At 35.0% G+C, this 24,423-nt stretch overlaps 1 pseudogene; it reads right to left on the bottom strand.

Moving 5' to 3' along the window:
- On the bottom strand, positions 20,146 to 20,447 carry CDH12P4 (cadherin 12 pseudogene 4; annotated as a pseudogene).

Raw genomic sequence — 24,423 nt, 5'->3', positions numbered from 1 at the left:
GTGGCATGGTTTAATTTGTTTGGAAGAAGCACTTGCCCCAGAAGATACACAATGAAATTCATGTTATTGAGTAGAGTAGTAATACAGTGTGTTCCCTTGTGAAGTTCATAACCAAGAATTATTTTAGTAGTGGATAGGTAGGCTGAATAATTGACTTCCTATCATTTTCAGGTTCTGTGTTTGATTTTTTTTACATATTAATTTCTTTGATCCACATTAAGCTCAGTTATGTATTTCCATTTTATAAATGAAAAAAAAAAATAGGCACTTGCAAATGTCAGATCACTTGCCTGTGGTCATTCGGGTAGAGATTTGTGAAGCTAAGTTGGTCTTAATCAAATGTGAAGCTTTTTTTTTTCTTATAAAATATAGATTTTAATATGAGTTTTAAAATAAAATTAATTAGAAAAAGGCAAATTACTCAATATATAAAATGTATTGCATTTGTAATAGGTAGGTATTTCATTTTCTAGTTATGGTGGGATATTATTCAGACTATAATTCCCAATGAAAAAACTTTAAAAAATGCTAGTGATTGCACATTTAAAACACCTTTTAAAAAGCATTGAGAGCTTATAAAATTTTAATAAGTGATCGAACCAAATTTGAAGAGAAAAGAAGAACCCAGAGAGGTAAGGATATAACCTTACCAGTTGCAATTTGCCGATCTCTACAAATATTAATATTTATTTTGACAGTTTCAGGGTGAATGAGAAAGAAACCAAAACCGAAGACTAGCATATGTTAAGTCTTCTTAAGGAGCCCTCCCTTAAAAGATTGAGATGACCAAATCTTATACCCTCAGCATAAGGTGAACCAGACAGACCTAAAGCAGTGGTAGCTTGGATCCACTACTTGGGTTTGTGTGACTGCGTGACTCAGGTAATCTCAAAAATTGAACATTTTTTTAAGGTGGTCCTACTCGTATGCCCAAGTGTTAGGGAGAAGCAAATCTGAATGCTTTATAAAAATACCCTGAAGCTAAATCTTACAATATTCTCAAGAACACAGTGAAACAAGGCAAAATAAGTTAAAATCAACAAAAACAACATGAAACATAATTAGACCCACAAAGACTTCAAACATTGGACAATATCAGAGAAAGATAATAAATATTTTACTCTTTAAAAATTTAGTTAAAAGCTTAAACTAATTGTAGAGAAAAAACTGTGTTAGTATTATATTGTGGATGAAATAAGCAAAACATTTAAAATACAAATGTGATTACTTAAATTAAATATAATAGATAATTTACCACCAGATTAGATACCATTGAAGGAATAATTAATATACTGAAATACAGGTCAGTAGAAGTTTTTTTCAATTCAGCATGGAGATGTAAAAAATGAAAATTAATGCAAAAAATAAGGGCACAAAAAGAAATGAGTAATTTTGATCAGAAATGTATTAAAATTAATAAACTGGAAATTTGACATTTAAAAAAAAGCATTGTCATCCAAGTAGATGTGTCTATTAAATAGTTGTTCTCATATCCAGTAATGTAATTATTATTCCCCCTCATGCAGTTCAGATTCTGGGGTAATCTTTAGACATCAGTTTTATCTTTTATATTATTTATTCTGTTTACTACATTTTATTTTGCTAATGATATTTTTAATTTCTGACATTCTGGAGTATTGCTTGTAAAAGGTATTTTTAAAAATATTTTATGGTTATTTTTGTGATTCCTATTCCTGTATGGACACCAAGGCTATTGACATTTTCTTTAGTTTCTTCTGTTAATTCTATTTTCTTAGTGTTTATATCATTTCATAGATAGGATATTCTTTATTTTTTATTTTTATTTAAATATTTGGTGATTCTTGGTTTTCTCAGCCATCTATTGTCAAGTGTTCTTATTAAGCATTGTTATTAAATAAAGATTATTTCCTCTAATCACATGAGAATCTTTATTTCCCCCAAGTAATTGAAAATTGCAATGCCATGCTGCCATGTGGTACAGCATGGGTTTGGGCTTGCTTTCTTCTTTTTTTTTTAACTTTTATTTTAGGTTTGGGAGTACCTGTGAAAGTTTGTTATATAGGTAAACTCGTGTCATCAGGGTTTGTTGTACAGATCATTTTGTCACCTAGGTACCAAGTACTCAACAATTATTTTTCCTGCTCCTCTGTCTCCTGTCACCCTCCACTCTCAAGTAGACTCCAGTGTCTGCTGTTCCCTTCTTTGTGTCCATGTGTTCTCATAATTTAGTTCCCCACTTGTAAGTGAGAACATGCAGTATTTTCTAGTATTTGGTTTTTTGTTCCTGTGTTAATTTGGCCAGTATAATAGCCTCCAGCTCCATCCATGTTACTGCAAAGAACGTGATCTCATTCTTTTTTATAGCTCCATGGTGTCTATATACCACATTTTCTTTATCTAAACTCTTATTGATGAGCATTGAGGTTGATTCTATGTCTTTGCCATTGTGCATATTGCTGCAATGAACATTTGTGTGCATGTGTCTTTATGGTAGAATGATATATTTTCTTCTGGGTATATATGCAGTAATGCGATTGCTGGTTGGAATGGTAGTTCTGCTTTTATCTCTTTGAGGAATTGCCATGCTGCTTTCCACAATAGTTGAACTAACTTACACTCCCACTAACAGTGTGTGTTTCCTTTTCTCCACAACCTGCCAGCATCTGTTATTTTTTGACATTTTAATAGTAGCCATTTTAACTGGTATGAAATTATATTTCATTGTGGTTTTAATTTGCATTTCTCTAATGATCAGTGATATTGAGTTTTTTTTTTTTTTCACATGCTTGTTGGCTACATGTACGTCTTCTTTTGAAAAGTGTCTGTTCATGTACTTTGCCCACATTTTAGTGGGGTTGTTTTTCTCTTGTAAATTTGTTTAAATTCCTTATAGGTGCTGGATTTTAGACATTTGTCAGACGCATAGTTTGCAAATAGTTTCTCCCACTCTGTAGGTTGTCTGTTTATTTTGTTAATAGTTTCTTTTGCTATGCAGAAGCTCTTAATAAGTTTAATGAGATCCTGATATGTTTAGGCTTTGTATCCCCACCCAAATCTCATCTTGAATTATAATCTCCATAATCACCACATGGAGAGACCAGGTGGAGGTAATTGAATCTGGGGGTGGTTTCACCCATGCTGTTCTTGTGATAGTGAATGAGTTCTCACGAGATCTAATGGTTTTATGAGGGGCTCTTCCCAGCTTTGCCTGGTACTTCTCCTTCCTGCCGCCTTGTGAAAAAGGTGCATTGCATCCCTTTCACCTTCTCCTATAATTGTAAGTTTCCTGAGGCCTTCCCAGCCATGCTGAACTTCAAGTCAATTAAACCTTTTTCTTTATAAATTACTCAGTCTCTGGTGGTTCTTTATAGCAGTGTGAAAATGGACTAATGAAGTTCCCATTTATGAATTTTTGCTTTTGTTGCAATTGCTTTTGACATCTTAGTCATGAAATCCTTGCCTGTTCTAAGTCCAGGATGGTATTGCCTAGGTTGTCTTCCAGGGTTTTTCTAATTTTGTGTTTTGCATTTAAGTGTTTAATCCATCTTGAGTTGATTTTTGTATATTGTGTATGGAAGGGGTCCAGTTTCAATCTTTTGCATATGGCTAGTTAGTTATCCCAGTACCATTTATTGAAAAGACAGTCTTTTCCCCATTGCTCGTTTTTGTCAGTTTTATTGATGATCAGATAATCATAGCTGTGTGGCTTTATTTCTGGGTTCTCTATTCTGTTCTATTGGTTTATGTCCCTGTTTTTGTGCCAGCACCATGCTGTTTTGGTTAACATAGCCCTGTAGTATAGTTTGAGGTCAGATAGCCTGATGCTTCCAGCTTTGTTCTTTTTCTTAAGATTGCCTTGGCTATTTGGCCTCTTTTTTGGTTCCACATGAACTTTAAAACAGTTGTTTCTAGTTTTGTGAAGAATGTCATTGGTAGTTTGATAGAAATAGCATTTAATCTGTAAATTGCTTTGTGCAGTATGGCCTTTTAATGATATTGCTTCTTCCTATCCATGAGCATGATATGTTTTCCATTTTGTTTGTATCCTCTCTGATTTCTTTGTGCAGTGTTTTGTAATTCTCATTGTAGAGATTTTTCACCTCCCTGGTTAGTTGTATTTTACCCTAGATATTTTATTCTTTTTGTGAAAATTGTGAATGGGATTGCCTTCCTGATTTGACTGCCAGCTTGGTTACTGTTGGTTTATAGAAATGCTAGTGATTTTTGTACATTGATTTTCTTTCTAAAACTTTGCTGAAGTTTTTTTTATTAGCAGAAGGAGCTTTGCGGCTGAGACTATGGGGTTTTCTAGATATAGAATCATGTCAGCTTCAAATAGGGATAATTTTACTTCCTCTCTTCCTATTTGGATGCCCTTTATTTCTTTCTCTTGCCTGATTACTCTGGCTGGGATTTCCTATGTTGAATAGGAGTCATGAGGGAGGGCATCAAATCTACACATATCAAATACTAACCTTGAATGTAAGTGGGCTAAATGCCCCACTTAAAAGGTAAAGGGGGGCAAGCTGAATAAAAAAGCAAGACTCAATGGTATGCTGTCTTTGAGACCTATCTCACATGTGATGACACCCATCGGCTCAAAATAAAGGAATGGAGGAAAATCTACCAAGCATGTAGAAAACAGAAAAAAGCAGGGGTTGCATCCTAATTTCAGACCAAACAGACGTCAAACAAACAAAGTTCAAAAAAGACAAAGAAGGGGCCGGGAGTGGTGGCTCACACCTGTAATCCCAGCACTTTGGGAGGCCAAGGTGGGCGGATTACAAGGTCAGGAGATCGAGACCATCCTGGCCAACATTGTGAAACCCCATCTCTACTAAAATCCAAAAAAAAAAAAAAAAATAAGCTGGGCTTGGTGGTGTGTGCCTGTAGTCCCAGCTACTCGGGAGGCTGAGGCAGGAGAATCACTTGAACCCGGGAGGCGGAGATTGCAGTGAGCTGAGATTATGCCACTGCACTATAGCCTGGCGACAGAGTGAGGCTCCGTCTCAAAAAAAAAAAAAAAAAAAAAGACGAAGGGCATTACATAATGATGAAGGGTTTTACTCAACAAGAAGACCTTACTAACCTAAATATATATGCACCCAACACAGGAACACCCAGATTCATAAAGTAAGTTCTTAGAGTACAAAGAGGCTCCCACACAATAATAGTAGGAGACTTTAACACACCACTGATAGTCATAGACAGATCATCAAGGTAGAAAATTAACAATGATATTCAGGATCTGAACCCAACATTCCACCGAATGAGTCTGATAGACATCTACAGAACTCTCCATCCAAAAACAACAGAATATACATTCTTCTCATCTCCACATGGCGCATGCTCTAAAATTGACCACATAATGCCTTTCTTTTCAGTGGTCCATATGTAAGTCTTTTGAAAGTGGCAGCATCTCTACTGCTCATGCTTGTTGCAAGGAACTCTACTGAATACAAGGAACTTTACTAATCTCTAATGCTTGTGAGTAGATTCTGAACTCATCATTTAGAAAGCTAAACTGGGGGCTTTCTTCCCAGAGCAAAGACATAAAACAAACCTCAATTGAGCGTGGGACAGGGAGTCATGTGCTATAAATTTCTTGGACAGTTCTTATTCTATGGACCAATTACCATTCCCTTGTATCTCTAATTTTGGGATTATTTCTGGATTAAAACACAAAAAAAATCAGACTGTAAAAAGTCATCATTTCTACCAGTGTGAGAATATGTATTCCTCACCTTTACTGGGATTCACTGCCAGTATATATGCAAATGACTTATACACACACATACACACACGCACATACACACACACGTGTGTGTGTGTAGGTATGTCTGTAATAGGTATTTATATGTTTGCCTGTCTTTCTATTAGAATTGAGATACAGCAAAATGCACAGAAATTAAGCATTCAATTTAGTAAGTTTTCACAAATGTACATATTTAATCAATATCTCAATCAACACAAAAACCATTGTTTCACCTCTGAAGATAATTTTTAATCTTTTGCAAATTATTGAGACTTATTTAATGACCGAGACTACACAGTCCTTCGTAAACATTCCATGTAAATTTGATAAAAATATTTTCATGAAATTTTTTGTGTAGTGTTCTAAAACTTGAAATTAGACTACATTAGTTGATAGTATTATTAGAATCTTCCAAATCCTTACTAATTTTTATTTGTTCATCTATTGTTTATTTTGAGCCGATGATTAAAATCTTCAACTATGAGTGAAAGTCTATTTCTCTGTTTAGTTCTGTCTGTTTTTACTTCATGCATTTTGACACTCTGTTATCAGTTGTATAAACATTGAGAATTATAATGCATTGCTAATGAGCTTAACCTTTTATCATTCCATCTCTGATATTTCAGCTTATTTTGAATCCTACTTTCTCTGGTATTAGCCAGCTACATCAGTTTTACTTCCTTTCATTTTCAACCAATTTTATGACTCCATCTCAAAAAAAAAATGCATTCATTATACAGAGCATATAGTTTTGTCCTTTTTAAATCCAGTCTCAAAATTGCTAGCTCTTAATTTAAGTGTGTTATGGGTTGAATTGTCTGCCAAAAAAAACATACGTTGAAGTCCTTACCCCAGTAATTAAGGATGCAACCTTATTGAAAGATAGGATCTTTATAGATGTAATCAAGTCAAAATGGGATCATTAGAGTGGCCTGTAATCCAATGTGACTGGTGGCCTTATGAAAGGGGGAAATTTGGACACAAAAATGCCACCAGAAAGCACAACATATGAACATGAAGAAAGCCATCTAAAAGCCACGGAGAGATGTCTAGAACAGATTCTTCTTCACAGCCTTTAGAAGGAACCAGTACCTTGAATTCAGACTTCTAGCCTTCAGGACTTGAGATAATACATTTTTGTTGCTTGAGGCACCTAGTTTATGGTACTTTGTTATATAACCCTAGGAAACTAATATAAATGTTCAATCCATTTACATTTAATCAGTGATGTCAGTGTTGTTAAATCTACCATGTTACTATTTGCCTACTATTTTCTTATTTGGGTGTTGTTCTCTTCCCTTGGTTGTTGATATTTCTTTCTTCACCGGTTCAGTGTTACCTTCCTTAGAGTAAATGGATATTTTTCAATATTTCATTTTAATTATGCTATTGGCTTTATACCCTTCATACATGTGTTCTTGTTGATTCGATGTTCTTGGATCTCTGCATTGAAATTTTTCATCAAAATTTGAAAACACTGGCAATTATTTCTTCAAATATATTTTTTCTTTCCCATTTTCTGACTCATCCTTTTGAGACTTCATTTGTGTATAGGTTTGATGGCTTGATATCCCATGTCATTCAATCTCTTATTTTAATCATTTTCCTCTTTTGTTTGAGATTAGATAAATTCAAAAATGGTTTTCAAGGTTATTTGTCTGCTTTTCAGATAGCTGAAATCTGAGAGTATACCCTGCCAGTGACTCTTTCATTGTATATTTTGCACTTGTTACTTCAACAATGTTCATTTCTCAAAATTACCTTTTTCGTTCTATCATTGTGACAATATCTCCATAGTCTAAGGACATATTCATAATATATATCTGTTGATTTCAATGCCTGGGTCATTATGATGTATGTTCTATTGACTGCTTTTTTCCCCTTGATTATTTATTAAATTTTCCTGCTTCTTTGCGTAACTTGTATTTTTGACTAATACACTGTAGAAAATCTAGACGTTGTCTTCTTGTAAAAGGCCCTAAGATAGTCCTTTGAAAGCTGTTAAGTGGCTTCCAGATCCTTTTGATCTGCCATGCCTGGTTTCATTATTTGTTAATGAAAATCTCTTTCATTTTTGTTCTTAAAGATAGGACATAGTCTTTACTGAAAGAAATAGTCCTTGTTCTTAATGCCTGGAATATTCCGTAAAATATCTTCCCTGTGGCTAGTCAGTAACCCAAACATCTCCTTGTCCTGTTACTACTGATATCTTATTCCCACAGTATCTGCTTTCAGCAGGTCTTGCAGATGTTAACCCTGCTCAGGTATAGAGCAGCTTTTGACGAAATTGGTGCCAAATACTTATTCTGGCTTCTGTAGGCCTACCCCATGCCTCTTTTTCCTTTCCTATACAAATTTCAGCCACTTCAGCAGCTCTTAAATAACCACTTAAGCAAGTGTAAGCTATTTACAAATATCGATAGATAGATAGATAGAGAGAGAGATGATATAGATAGAGATTTAATTGTAATTTTAGATTCAGGGGGTATATGTGCAGGTTTGTTACAAAGTTATATTGCTTGCTGCTACTGTTTGGGCTTCCACTGATCCTGTCACCCAGGTAGTGAACTGAATACCTAACAGGAAGTTCCTTGGCTCTTGTCCCTCTACCCCTACCTCTTTTTGGAACCTAATTAAACTAAGAGCTTCTGCATAGCAAAAGAAATTATCAACAAATAAGCAGACAACCTACAAAATGAGAGCTTTAAGCTTTAATTTCTTCCTCTAAACTCATTATTTTTAGAGTCTGCCTCCTTGTTTAATGGGAGAAAAAGTGCCCCTAGTCACATTCTCTGGTTAAATGTGGTACTTACCTCACAGCTTTCTTCTCTCTTGAGTATGAAAAACTTGTACTTCTTGTTTGATGCATAAAATCTGGTTCCTCATATATGTTGCCCAGTTTTATCATTGTTTATAGTGAAAAGGCAAGTCCCTCCAATAATTCTATTATGGCCAAAGACTAAAGTGCCTCTGATATGACTTATGTCCTTCAGAAATTGCTTACTCTTTAGTCTGTTGGTAGAATTCTTCTCAACTTTCCATAGTTATTTTAATAAGTACTATATTTTCCTATTTCAATGGCAATTTGGAATAAAGGAGAAATAAATGTATTTGTTTGGTCCATCTTTGTGTATTCAAACTGTTAAGTCATTACTTTTCACGTCCACTACACATATTACTGCACAGTAATTCCTTGTTTACACCTATAATCTCCCTCTCCTGTTTTCCTAGTTTCTATTCAAGTATTTGGGGTAACTGATATTTCTTAAAACAATATGTATTCTTGGAAAGAGATGTTTCTAGAATCCCCTTCTTAGGTGACTTATTAGGAAAAATTATAAGAATAAGAACGAGAATAGAGAAGAAAAGTAATTGAAGACATCCACTTCAACTCTAAATCCCCCTAGGAGAAAAAAGGCTAGCACTTATTTAAATGCCCTTCTTAGGTGACTTATTAGGAAAAATTATAAGAATAAGAATGAGGATAAAGAAAAGTAATCGAAGATACCCACTTCAACTCTAAATCCCCACAGGAGAAAAATGGCTGGCACTTATTTAAACTCATCTAGGTTTTAGTTTTGCTGATGTTGTTTTTCCAATAATAATCCGTTTCAATTATTATAACAGCAATTTCAGTGAAATATGGTACTTACCAGCTAAGTTTTACACAGGGAAGCACTTTCCTAAACACTTCCCCATCCTTCTTCAAAGTTTGAATCCAAATCTTTTGTACTCCAGGGCTTATTTTGTTTTTCCTACAGCATTCTGCCTTTCTAGAATTAGCACTAGTTACCCTCAGGAAAAGCAAATACATGGACCCATAAAATAATCTTTGGAAGTCTTTCTTCTCCTGCTAGTTACCAAATTATAATCTTCTTATTGTAATAATAAAATAAAATAAAAAATAAAAAGAACTATTTTACTCTAATAAGTTTCCCATTAAGCTAAGCCTGCTTTTGTTGTATTAGAGATTAACATATGTAGACAGTGTTCTTTTTGACTGGAAATGGGGATTAGTTATGGTTCAAGTAATGCATAAACAAGATGTATTTTTAAAAATACGTCATATTTATGCATTATATTTAAGCAGCCATTTGTAAAAAGCTGAAACTTATTAGAAAGTGAATTCTTCATACTCATGTTTGTATTTTCAATGTTTAGGATTATTTGTTAGCTTAGGTATAGACTAGATTATTTTTCTAAACAAACAGGAATAAGAAATATAGGTAGTAAAATTTACATGACCTGGTAAAATTTAAAATATCCATTCTGACTAACAGGCAGTGATGAGAACAATAAATAAAATATATCTTGGTTTAAATTCTAAGTAAATATATTTGACAATATAAATATAAACATACTCATATGAGTGAATTGCTTCTAATTCTGGCTTTTAGCTAAATAAGCACTTAATGCTAGTAAGAAAAATACATTATTTCATAAAGATAACAAATTCTTTCAGAAATAGTAATTATATTTTTAAAGAGTTTGGGGAAAATAGAAGTGTATACTCTAATCTTATAGCAAAGTTTCTGCTAAGTTTTTGTGATGCCAGTGTTTTCATTATGAATCATTTCACTGTCAAACAAAATGTACGCTGTTGATTAAACACAGGCAAAAAGAGACGGAAAAAAAAAGGTATATTAAAAAAAAGACCTTTGGTTATTCTGGCTGCCACCAATTGCTTTCTTGTTTCAGCTGAATTTTGAAGTAGCTAATCATATTTTGGCATTTTCTTGTCATCAAAGCATTTCGTGAAATTATCCCATTACAATGTTTTTCTCAGAGGCAAAATTAACATGGTTGACAGTTTAATTGACATATTTCTTTTTCGTTGTGTGCCTTTGCCAATTAAACAAATTGCACCCTATTTTGATGTTCATTTTGTTAATTATTTGTAAAACTGTAGACTCTGATTTTTTTTTTTTTTAATTTTCAGGTGTCAGTTTCTTGGTCGGGAATGAAAATAGTGCCAACCTGTGATACCTTCACTCTAATTTTACTTTCTGAGGAAGTTTTCTGTAATAGTTATTTGGTGATAATTATTAATACTGGTGAGTTTTAAAATTTTTGCTTTCAGCAATTTTCCATTTTTTTCAACATACTTATATCGCAATGAGGCAACCAAATATGAATCCTGAGAATGAAGATGGAAAATGAATATTTTAATCCAATATCGAGTTGTTCTTTCAACATTTTTAGTTTTAGTTTTAATCGAAAATATAAAGTTACATAATTGTGTGAGGAATAATTTTTGCAGAGAAATTTTTAAAAATTCACAAAAGGAAAAAGAAACCTTTACCATGAGTCTATAACATTGAAAGACTGTGTTTAAGTTATTTTAATAAAGCCAAACCAACACTTTCAGCAGGAACTAAATGGCAGCATCTGATTTCACGCTGATACATATGTATTAGTGTGGTGCTCACTTTTACCCTTCATTTTACCTTGGGTCTTGCCATTTTCTTTCTTTTTATTTTTATGTTTTTTTGTGTTTTGTTTTCTTCTGGAGGAGGTAATTTTTAGGGAGAAAAAAAACACTTTTTCCTCATAGGTCGATTTAAAATGTTGGCCTTACCTTAATCTCCTCTCTCAAACTCAATCCACTATGTAATGGGTCAACATACTTTTCTGTGAAGGAGCAGATAGTAAATATTTTAGTCTTTGCAGGCCATATGGTCTCTGTTGCCAGCTCTTCCATTGTGGTGTGAAAGCAGCCATAGACAACACAGAAATGAATAAGTGTAACTGTTCCAATAAAAACAGATGATATGTTGAATTTAGCTCACAGAGTTTAGCTTGCTGCCCCTGCAGGAGGCCTTTGGAGTAAAAGCTTCCTGAGAGGAGGACTTTTTGTCTTTTTTGCTCAAGTTCTAGCTCCAGTACCTAAAATAGTGCCTGTCACGTAGGTATTGATGAATATTTGAACCTGTTGAACATACACCTAAAATAAAACATTTGGCAAGATACAGTACTACACAATTTGGAGAACACTTGGCTCCCATAGAAATCAAAGCCTTCCTGAGTAATTAATTATTTGGCCTGATGATGAATTACTGTGCCTGAGATGATAGAGCTAATTTATTTTTCAATTCACTCAGGGGACACACGTTATTTTCACTGTGAATTTGGTTAAAATGAAAAGATTTCCTGCTCTAAGTCCTGGATAGACCTTTATGTAATAGCATACTCTTCACTCTTTTTGAATCACATGCAGTTGTCACACTGGATGATTTCCAGACAGAGGCTCCAAGTCTTTCATCATGTTTGGGTTAAAGACCTCATTAACATACTAGTCCTGCCATTTGAGTCTGTTCTCTTCACGGAATATTTTCACCTGAATCAGTGGGTATAATTCATCAGTGTCTGGTTGCTTCAAGTTATTTTTCTTAATGCTGATGTTAATGCATGCCCATCTTTATGCCTCAACACATTGCACAATGAAAAACAAAAATTATTTTGGAAGACACAGCTGACATCTATATGAAATATTCAGTATCAGTGATTGAACTTCAGCAAGCTCCTGTGGCCAGCAGGGTTTTACGGAGGTGCAACTGCTCTCCCACGATCACTTATCATAAAGCCAGAGACAATTGGGCCAATGTAGCCTCTTGCCTGCTTTTGTGTACAAAATATAAATAGAATAGAGCAAATAAGGAAAAATAGTCCCGCAGCTGGAAGGCAACTTTAAAGAAAAATGATGTTCATAGCTGTCTTGCCAGTAGCTGGCAAAGCAGTTTTTATAAGACATATTTAATGTTTACAACCACTTGGAGGCTGGGGAAGGAGTAATACTTTGAAAATATGTTTAATGTTGTGAACCACTCTGTGGCCGAGAAGCAACTCCGGCTAAAATATATTTAATGCTTAGAGTCATTTGGTGGTTTCGAAAAAAAGAAACTTCTTGTTAATTTTTAACATTTATTGCTGATCAGTGGCTGCTAAAGTAACTATCAGTACAGCATGATTTATATTTAGGGACACGCTGTGCTGCTACTAAAACAATTCATACTCTTCTCTCAAGGCTACACAAAAAGTGTCAATAGCATTACCTTTGCAATTGCACCACTAATAAAAACATAGGAATCAAACAGACGAATAAAATGCTCCCTGCCCACACAGCCATAACATCCTATGGCCCTGAAAATAGTTCTGCCAAGCTGCGTGCAGTGGACACTTCACGGCTGGCACAGGAGAGATCACAAGGCCTTGCTCAATTTCATCAAAAGTGTTAAAGCGACTCAGCAGATTGTGAAGCACAAGTGGAAGCTGATAATTGGTGTTTCTTACAAATCAACGGCTTGTCTCCACACATCAAGGTAAAGGCGTCCTCTACACCAAAGAAAATGTAAATTGGGATAGAAGGTCATTATGTTTTTAAATAAACTTGGTTAAATTTGTAGAAAGGGCAATGGTAAATACTGAGCTCACATGTCAGATGGAGAGAAAACTTGAGAAAAGGGAAGAAGATAATGAGCTGGAACCTTTACCATTTAGACTTTCTCTGGCTAGCTTTCTGAGAATGATCATCAAACTCTTATGAGGACCCTTTCCAATGTATTGACTGCACTTCCCCAGGGATTGTGGCAAATGGTAAATATATATTTTCTCCTTGCTACTTGCAATAACCCTGCTCATAAAGTGTTACTATTATTCACTTGCAGGTGAGAAAATCAATGTAAAAGAGGAGAAATAACCCACACAACCACATACAACTAGGAAATGATAGATGGATCTGAAAAAAAGGATAAGCACTCTTAACAAGTTCAACACCCAAGTACTATTGCAAGTACAAGCTGTATTTCATGGAAAAAAAAAAAAGAATAACTCAAAAGGCAGAACGAAGAGCCTAGAGGTCAGAGATGAGAGGCATGAATAATTATTCACAGGCGTTGAATATAATCAAATGACTTGCAACATTTACCACTGGGATTTTAAAATGTGGTGGACCAATCATTCTTTTAGTCTGTGCATTTTCCCATTTTTTTCAACAGGAATGTCTAGAGACATTATTCCTGTTTTGCCACTGTATTTTTGGTGAATGTGTAGTAAGTAACTGGCCTCTTTAGTATCACAAAGCTGGATGAAGAAAATGTGGTACATATACACCATGAAATACTATGCCGCCACAAAAAGGAAATGAGATCATGTCCTCTGCAAGGACATGGATGAATCTGGAAGCCATTATCCTTAGCAAAGTAACGCAGGAACAGAAAACCAAACACCACATGTTGTCTCTTAGAAGTGGGAGCTGAACAGTAAGAACACATGGACACAGGGTGGAGAACAATACACACTGGGGCTTGATGGGGGGTGGAGGGGAGGGATGGGGAGCATTAGAAAAAATAACTAATGCATGCTGGGCTTAATACCTATGTGATGGGTTGATAGGTGCAGCAAACCACCCTGGCACATGTTTATCAATGTAACAAACCTGCACATCCTGCACAGGTACTCCAAAACTAAAAGTAAAAAAATCTAAAAGAAAAAAAAAAAAGAATTAAACCCCAAATCACTTCCCCATCTGGACTTGATTTAGATGAAAAGCTTCTGGACTTTGAGCTGATGCTATAGTGGGTTGAAAATTTTGGGGTCCTCAGAAGGGGATGAGGATATATTGCATGAGAGAGCAACATGAATCATTGAGAGCCAGAATATAGAGAGTGGTAGGTAGACTGTAGGAGAGCCCTCAATGATCCCAGCTTTCTTGTATTCGCGTTGCACTTACTTGTATAATATGGCAGATGGGATGTGATGTCACTTTCAAGATTAGGTTATAAATAGACTATGGCTTCAATCAGAGGGTTTTCTCTCTGTCTAGCTCTCTTTTGGGTAGTTCATTCTGAGGAAAGCCAGCTGCCACGTTATGATGTAGGCCTGTGAGGTCCACGTAGCAAAGAACATATGGAAGATTTCTACCACCCCCTAACTAAGCCTTTAGGTCAGACCGCAACCCCAGCCAACAAGGTAGCTACAAACTCTTGAGAAGCCTTGAGACAGAGGTACTCAATAGAGCCATTCCTATGAGAAACGTAAGTATCTGCTGTTTTACACCGCTAAGGTTTTAGCTAATGTATTATGCCATAATAGATAAGTTATATACAACCTTTATCAAATAATAAAAGTAACCATCATCAGTAATGAGACAAATCAAAAACCATGGCCCACCCAATAGAACATAATGAGGAGAGTACAGAATTGCTTCTGGGATATTTCTGACAAAGATGTATATGCTTCATTCATACATGAGGAAACATCACACATACTCAAGATGGGAGAGCCATTCTAAAAAATAACTAGGCAGAAATCTTCAAAAATATTAAAGTCACGGAAACCAAGAAAAAATATGAACCTGTTCCAGATTAAAGGAAACTAAACAGACCTAACATTTTAATACAATGTTTGATTTTGAACTTGAACTTTTTGTTATATAAGACACTATTGAGACAAGTGCTAATGCTTGAATAGGGCTGAAGGATTAGATTATAATAATACATTAATGCAAATTTCCTGATTTTAAACATTGTAGTTTGATTGCACAAGGAGAATGTCTTTATGTGTGGAAAATAAATAGTCAACATTCTGTCTTCAAGCTTCTGAAAAAACTCTGCTTTTAGGGCATAGATAGAAGTGGATGATAATTCACCTGTTCCTCTGCTACTAATTGAGCTGCTCTCTGTTTCCATGGCTGGCTCATGGGATGAGAGAATATATCTAGTTTTTTATGTTTCAATTTGTCTCTCTATGGCATTTTTGTGAAAATAAGGAAGTGTGGAGACTTATATATGTTTCTAAATTGTAATAGTTCATTAATGTAAAGTACAGACACAGTCTTCACTTTTCCTTCTTAGACCGTTTAAATATGGCCACGAAACAAGTAGTCTCTGGTTGGCTGGGCACTGTGGCTCATGTCCTTAACACCAACACTTTGGGAGGCCGAGGCAGGCAAATCACTTGAGGTCAGGAGTTCGAGACCAGCCTGGCCAATGTGGCAAAACCCCATCTCTTCTAAAAATACAAAAATTAGCTGAGTGCGGTGGTGCACACCGGTAATCCCAGTTACTCGAGAAGCTGAGGCAGGAGAATCACTTGAACCTGGAAGGCAGAGGTTGCAGTGAGCCAAGACCGCACCACTACACTCCAGCCTGGGCAATAGAGCAAGACTCCATCTCAAAAAAAAAAAAAAAAAGAAAAAAGAAAATAGTCTCTGGTTAAATAACCTCTGAAAGACTCCACCAAAAATTTCATCTTAGCATTTCTCCCCAAACTTCATGTAAAATAAAATAGAGTTGAGAGAAAAATAGAAAGGCAAGGGAGTACCTGTTCACTATTTTTATTAAACCAGTGTTCTACTTTATTTTAGGTGTATCTTTTCTTATTTAAATGTCAGCTAAACTTTCTTTTTAAGATATTGAATGAAAGATGCCCATCCTTCAGGTTTCGTTTAAGCAAGAATCCCCATTCTCAAATAATATAATATAAACTTTCCAAATTCTTAAGTAGATCATCTGAGATTGAAAGCTAAGTTTAACTTTCTCAAAGATATTTTAGCCGCCATGACACCTAGACAAAGTGGTATATTAAATTCTGATTAATTTGGTCCTAAAGCACCTAAGAATCATTCTTACTTTCTTATCCACAGGGGTTATTAAGTTTTCACATTAAAAAAAATCCAACAGTGAATAATACTGCATTGGGGTTACTGTAATTGTTAAGTAAAATAAGAAATACAAATCTTTAGTTAGATCACATGGCACCTGACTACTGCTTAGAAAATGGTAAGACTTACTACATAAATGATGAGTCACTATTGACATCTACTATATCATATCATAGGTTAGGTATCTAATTATAAATAGTCAAATCAGCTGACTCAAGGTGGCATAGCTCAAGCAGAGGAAGATAATACAAGTTGAGTATGGATTTAACACTCTAAACCTGTCAGCACTGTAGGAAAAGTAACTTAAAACTGCACACCCCACTTATGCATAATCATCAGATATAAAGAGGGTACATTCCTGTAATTTATTGTTGCTCTAGTGATCTTAAAGAATTAAGTCCACATTCATAAAGTCCAAACTTGTCTCCAAGGATTTGCTTTGACTTTGGGAGTATCTGGATCATTAAGTAATTTCCGGAGGTCAGAGTAAAAGCTTTTTATCTCTAAATATTACTTCCCTGGAAAATTAGATGTAGCAGAAGTCAGTAACGGAGTGACCTTTGTCTTAAACAATTCATAGATTCACTGAAATTTTCTTCAACTTTAGGAAAATTAAATATATTCCACAGTGCTGTAAGTCTTAAATATTGATTTTCCTCTGAAATCTTGACTCATCCTACCCACCAACATTCTCCCTTTGTACACTATGTTCTTTGTAATGTTCACGTTACACAAGTGAAAATTAGTAACATTAGTAAATTTTCATTGCAGGTTTATTTGTTCATATTTCTGGATATATAATCCATTACTGTTAAACTTCATATCAATGTTCCGATATTTCTTCATCTTATGTTTTATGTTACAAAACAGGTTATTTCACTATATGTATTTTTAATTGATTAATTCTTCCCTTTTTTGGAAATGAAACAGCCCTCTCAATTATTGGGACAGAAAAGTTATTTCATAGGGAATACTTCAAACACTGATATCTACAACAGGCAGTAAGATTCGTCACAACAATTGGTATACTGTCAATATACCATACAAAGTTCCATCTGGTCTTGATTAAAAATTATTTTAGTTTTCTCAGGAAAATGATACAGAGGGAGAATTGCCTAGATTATATGAGAGAAAAAAAAGTAGAGAGAAACATAATGTTTTCTTAGATTATTACAGCAGTGAACTATTTCCACCTGGTAAGAAGGGTGCACTTGAGAATGGGGTACAAGTACTCTAGGAACATAGATGTAAGTTCTGGATGCACAGTAGTTGTTGCTTAGCTGTAAGCTGGAAATTTCAAGGCAGAAACAGCAGATACCACAACTATAACTGGGTCTTCTTGTTTTTTGTTTTATGTGTATACGTGAGATTATGGGGAAAGACAAAAGTAATGCATAGAGATTTATTTTTTAACATTCAATTCATAAGCAGTGTTTATACCTCTTTGTACTTACTTGAAAAGTGTATATTATGTAAATTTAGTATAAAAACACTTGGACTAATTCATACCATGTGGTAAAATTTCACATTCAAAAGAAATACCCTTCTGTTATTAAAAATAAAAAAAAAAGGAGCCAGGAGGGTGGCTCATGACTGTAATCCCAGTGCTCTGGGAAGCCAAGGTGGAGGGATCATTTGAGGCCAGGACTACTTGAGAACAGCCTGGGCAACATAGCTAGATCCCTTCTCTACAAAAAGTAAAAAAAAAAAAAAAAAACAAAAACAAATAGCTAGGCAGGGTGGCACATGACTGGCTATTAAGGAGGCTCAGGTGGAGGGATCTCTTCAGCCCAGGAATTTAAGGCTTCAGTGAGCTAAGATTGGGCCATTGCACTCCAGCCAGGGCAACAGACCAAGACCCAGTCTCAAAATAAATAAATAAAAATGAAAGAAAGCAGTGCACTGAAAATCAATTTAAGTATTTACTGGAGTTGTCTTGAAGGCCCAATGGGAAATGTCAGTAAGGGCACATGAGAAAACACTTTAAGAACCTATTCTTCCAAAGATCTTTCCAGTATCTTATGACAACACAGTAAATTATACCCACTCCAACTGCAAAAGCTGAAACTACTCTGCTTTCTCACTTACCTACACTTTTGACTTTCCAAATACATTTCTCTCTTCGGATATGAGCTGCAAACTCCTTATATAAAGGCTCCAACTCTGCAGCCCTAATTATTCTAGTTGGCCCAAGAAAAATCCTAATTGTTTTATCTAAGGAGACGGAATTTTCCAATACTGTAGAGGCATGTGTGTGTGTTTGCTTTAAGGAAGCTGTTTTGGTAATAAAAAGTCACTGAAGGTCATAAATTCATGTTAACACATCCAGTGTACATGAAGTAGGCACCGAGTTAAACTATTTGTCTACTATATAGCATGTCATCTTAAAAGCCTTATTTTTTCCTCAAAATATTAACTTTATTTTTCTCCCTGTAAAATCAAGACACAGTTAAAATGTAGCCTTCCTCATTTTCTGGGAATACTTTCTAACAAGATATGCTTCTTTCCAATTGGACTTCTAAATTTCTAGCAATTCTAACAGTGCATAAAAGAGGCAACCCCAAAAGTGTAGCAGGTACTGAATAACAGATTTGCAGCCTTGGGTATCCACATTAAAATTTGAAATCTAAGTGAATTACTTCAAGCTGATTTCTTAGGTCAAGGAGAGATTATGGTCCTTAAATGCCTGATAAGGTCACATACACAATTTCAAGTGCATTATAGTAAATCCATGTGACAGCTCCTACAGCTACTAACCTGCTTCTGCCCTCACGGTAGCGTGCACAATCTTCATCGCATGTCCTGGGTGGTGGTAGGAGCAGTAGAAACCCCCTGGGTCATGTCAGATTTAGAAAATATAAGCAATGGCTCATACACGAATTTTAAGTTGTAACCTACATGTGATAAGTTGCTTTATCTTCCAAATGTAATAAAAACCAGAAGTTACTTTGAAATAAATTGAAGGATTAGCAGTGGTGACTGAGGAATAAAAATTATAATTTAAAATTGTCCTTAAGGCTGGAATTCTTAACTTATTGACCTTATATCCTACATATTATAGGACTTTGTAAATTTAGGCTGATATGGAAATGTATATTTATATCAAATTTAAATTTTTAGAATGATGGTGCTACTATATTCTAATTGTTAATTTGATAATTGTAATTGTAATTTGTTAATTTGTTCTAATAATGTTTTCATGACATTATTCATTTGCTGCTTGGCTTGATGGCATAACAAGTATGGGTTATTTACCCTGAAAAGGAAACAGTATCACCCTTCCAGAATCTCTATTTACAGCTACAAAAGATGCAACACACCTGTTTCTGGACCACTTCCAGATCAGATGTGATGCATGCTTTAGATCATTTACTTTGATCTAGGAATTACTGTCTGGCATTTCGTGGTGTAGGGTAGGTGTCTCCAGCACTGTATAGGTGTCTGGAATTGAGATAAGAATCAATTTCAATACAAAATACATTTTTTGCTTAAAGCACGCAAGGATTCTATGAATTCAGGTAAATTCACAGGGTGGAAAACAGGAACTAATGTTATATATTCCTGTAGTTATCTTCATAATGAAGCAGAAAGAAAAACAAAAAAGTTACAAAAATAAATGAAAAGAACTGTATTTTCTAGAATTGAAAAATAATTCTTTTAGATGATAGATAAGATGTTTACATCAACCTGCAAAAAGTCAATGTTGAAGAGGTCTCATTGTATCTCACAGAATTTTGATTTGCCTACTCACCCACAGGAGACATTTCTGGGACAGTAGCAACATAAGGTCCATCCCAAAACTTTGGCTCATTATCATTAATATCCTGCACTTTGATGATGAATTCTGATTCAGGCTCCAGGGGCTTTCTGGTTTCTATGTCCACAGCCTGAGCACGAAGAGTGTAGAAAGGTTTTTCTTCTCTATCTAGGCTCCTTATTGCGTGAATGTCCCCTGTGGTTTCATCAATGGTAAAAACGGTGCCAGCGCCATCTCCTGAGAGGGTGTATTTCGCAGTGCCCTCTCCCTTGTCTAAGTCGGAATGGAGCTTTAGGGAAGAGAGGGAGAGAGAGAGGAAGAGAAAGAGAAGGACAAAGAAAGAACACCATTAAAAGGATGTTGCCAAATTAAAAAGTCATAATTTGCAATACAATTCCTTTAATCAAAAATGTTAAATAAAAATCTTATGGTTCTGTTTTCTTGTTTTTTATTTCTCCAACTTCTTTTTATAAAAATTTCAACACAAAAAGTTGAAAACTGTGCAATGAACACATATACATATACATCCAAACATTCCTCCATATGTGTGCAATGAACACATATATACCTATACATCCAAACATTCCTCCATTCGTCTATTAATCTGCTTGCCTTATCAGATAGGTCTCATATCCATTCTTCTGTTCATCCTTCTCTTAACCCATTTTTTTTTTGAGGTGTTACAAAGATCAGAACAAAAGTACAACCTCAGATATAGCAGCAGGCAAAAAAAAACAATAAATTTTGAAAATTTGTATTTAGTTCTTCTGTATCCCTTTGGGATAACATTTTCATAAAATGAAATGCACAAAACTTCAGTGTACTTATTGTTTCATTTTAAATAAACATTGCAATAAAAATAAATTAGCTCATAGACACCACAAAATAAACTTTCCAAGTGTTCTGAAGATGAAATCAATGACCTGAATCCAGTGGGAGATAGTGCAAAGGAACTCAGAAAACACTAAGCATTTTCATTTGTAAAGAAGGGAAAAATCTGGCAAATCAAGAGGTTTTCAGTGATATAGGGCAGAGCGTCTCATTTTAACAGGCTGAGTTTGAATGAGTTTACCACTATGATTGGTAGAATCACTGATTATCCTTTCAGATTCACAAATAGCTTGTTCCAATTCATTCTATATAGAGAATATTTATGTTGAGTAATATAGGAAAGCATTGAAATTCTGCTAATTTTTTTTTAAAATTCAACACATGTATGGTACATTACATTATAGCATGGAATAAGATACACATGAATAAGCGATAAGGAAGAGAACTAAAGAGTAGAGAGAATTATCAGTGTAATGCCATAAAGCAGCGTTGTTCAAACCGGAGACCAAGAATAAATGAAAAATGGACACAGTCTTAAAAGTATATAAATTATGTGTAAATAAATATATACATAAAATATTACATAAAATAAAATAGTGAATCATATACAATTTTCTAGTAGTATATATTTGTATAAATATATTCTTATACATAATATAATTATATATACATAACAGTCATAAATAATATTTATATTAATTTTTATGCAGATGCTGATTTAAATGTTTTAAACTATTCTTGCTCATTTGGGTATAGCCATTTGATTTCAGCATCCAAATTTTTACATGTAACAGCTTTTTCCAGACAACAGATCACCCAAAAGAAAATTAAACTTTTGCAGCATTTCTAACCATTTGGGCTACGCCTTAAAAATCTGCATATGAGCACTGCTCTTTGCAAATCATTGCTTAAGAATGAGTTCTGTTTTCCTAACATTTCAACACACACAAAAACTCTGAAAATATTTTAAATTATATAAATATCCTGTTGCAAATAAGCTTCCTGTGTATTAGTATGAGTAATTAAAAGCACAAATATAGCCCAAATAAATACAAGTTCAACTGTGGCTACATCTTTGCTCTTAAGCTCAAGAGCGTGCTTTAAGTTCAATAAAATAATATCATTGTTCATATTAATGTTATTAAGGTAAACTTATTCATTTTGTGACCCTGCATTTCCTTCAATATTTGTTCTAAAACTGTTTTGTATGAGAGTATAAGCATAACCATAAAAACCTGGTTGGGTAATATAATAAAAATAATGTGGCAACAATAAGAGGGAACAAGATTTTGGCGTTCCTTTAAAAGTTTCTGTATATTTTACTTAAGTATAAAGAAAATTGTTATGAATGATAGGAGGAAGGATTTTTGTCCACCTATTAAAAAAAAACTGCTGTGAAGCATAGGAAGTTTCAAGCATAAAATCAAGCAGTAGATAAATGTTCTTTGAACTTACGAATTTCAAATTATAAATTTCAACCATGCTATTAAAGATATTCAACACAGTGGATATTCCTTTTGCTTTCAAATTTATCTAAATATATGAGACAGGCAAAAGCTCAATGCAAAAGGCATGACTTTATAAAATGGATCCATTTTGCCAACAGCTCAAAGAATTATGGTAATATTGTGGGAACTGAGTGAAAATTCAGAGTAGGTTTTGAAATGTGATACAAGTAGAATTTTAAAAAGAAAAAAGAAAAAAATTTCTGTATTTAGCTAAAATCATAACTGTTTCCTTTGCAAACTGACATAAAAATGAAGAAGCAAAATGTGTCTTTAGTTATATCCAAGTTCCAAATTCAAGTTAATTACTGCTGCTCCTCACTCTTCTACCTTTTCCTTCAAATTTAAAGATGGGCTTTGCAGAGATTAAAGCTTCAGAAAAAAATATGGGAAAATATGTTAAAATGTTGACCTGAAAATGAAGTGGATGACTATAAAACTCTTGAGAGAATTAGACTTTTTGTAGCAGTTTATTACATGATAATACCTTAAAGGAGATCATATTCAGTGACCTGCGTTGACAGGTAATATTTAAAATTAAGTATTAATGCTGATTAATTCAGGCAGATGGGTGGTAGCCTAAAGTATAGACATTTTTCCAATATTAATTTTGATATTAAATAAATGACATCGGCTCTTGTTGGATATTGTAAAATTTCCTTTACTTCAACTGTAAAATAATTTCAACAGTGAAAGGTATAAAGTAAGATGAAAATTTCCATCATGATCTTACCTAGAGATAACTTCTCTTTTTTTGAGTCGAAGTATCGCTCTCGTTGCCTAGGCTGGAGTGCAGTGGCGTGATCTCGGCTCACTGCAACCTCCACCTCTCGGGTTCAAGCAATTCTCCTGCCTCAGCCTCCAGAGCAGCTGGAACTACAAGGCGCATGCCACCATGCCAGGCTAATTTTTGTAGTTTTGATGGAGACAGGGTTTCACCATGTTGACCAGGCTGGTCTCAAACTCCAGGCCTCAAGTGATCCACCCGCCTCAACCTCCAAAAGTGCTGGGATTACAGGCATGATCCCCCATGCCCAGCTGAATTGGAGGAAATTTTAAAAGTTAATTTTAAAACTGCTTCTCTTTTATGGGAAAGGAATATGTTTTTAAATGGTATTCAGTGTGCTCTTTTTTAAAAAAATCAAAAATTATCCATTAACATCCGTTACTTTTTTTGTTTTTGGTTTTTTTTGAGATTGAGTCTTGCTCTGTTGCCCAGGCTAGAGTGCAGTGGCATGATTTCAGCTCACTGCAACCTCCACCTCCCAGGTTCAAGCGATTCTCCTGCCTCAGCCTCCCAAGTAGCTGGGATTACAGGCGCCTGCCACCACACCCAGCTAATTTTTGTACTTTTAGTAGAGACAGGGTTTCACCATCTTGGCCAGGCTGGTCTCGAACTCCTGACCTCGTGATCCACCTGTCTCGGCCTCCCAAAGTGCTGGGATTCCAGGCGTGAGCCATCACGCCTGGCCTAATAGCCATTACTTTTTAATGCATGGTAATTTTTTGTTCAGTAGATAAATATATTGTTATCTTAAAAAGATTTTTTGTATTTACTTTTGAGACTGGGTCTCAGTCTGTTGCCCAGGCTGGAGTGTAGCAGCCTGATCATGGCTCAGTGCAGCCTCTACCTCCCCGGGCTCAGGTGATCCTCCCCCTTCAGCCTCCTGAGTAGCTGGGACTACAGAGGTGTGGCACCATGCCCGGCTAATTTTTGTATTTTTTGTGGAGATGGGGTTTTGCCATGTTGCCCAGGCTAGTCTTGAACTCCTGGATGTGAGCCACTGCGTCTGGCCTATTATTTTAAATATAGTTCTCTTTACTGCCAGTAGCTTTCATATAACCCTAGCGACTAGATTTAGTCACCACTGCTTAATTCCAAAAAACAAAAGCTCCATCCTATATTTACTGTAAATCAGTCTCTTTGATTGTA

Source organism: Homo sapiens, chromosome 5 (assembly GCF_000001405.40).
Source record: "Homo sapiens chromosome 5, GRCh38.p14 Primary Assembly".
NCBI lineage: Eukaryota > Metazoa > Chordata > Mammalia > Primates > Hominidae > Homo > Homo sapiens.
Note: the sequence above shows the minus strand (reverse complement) of the source record. Positions and strands in the feature narration are given on the sequence as shown.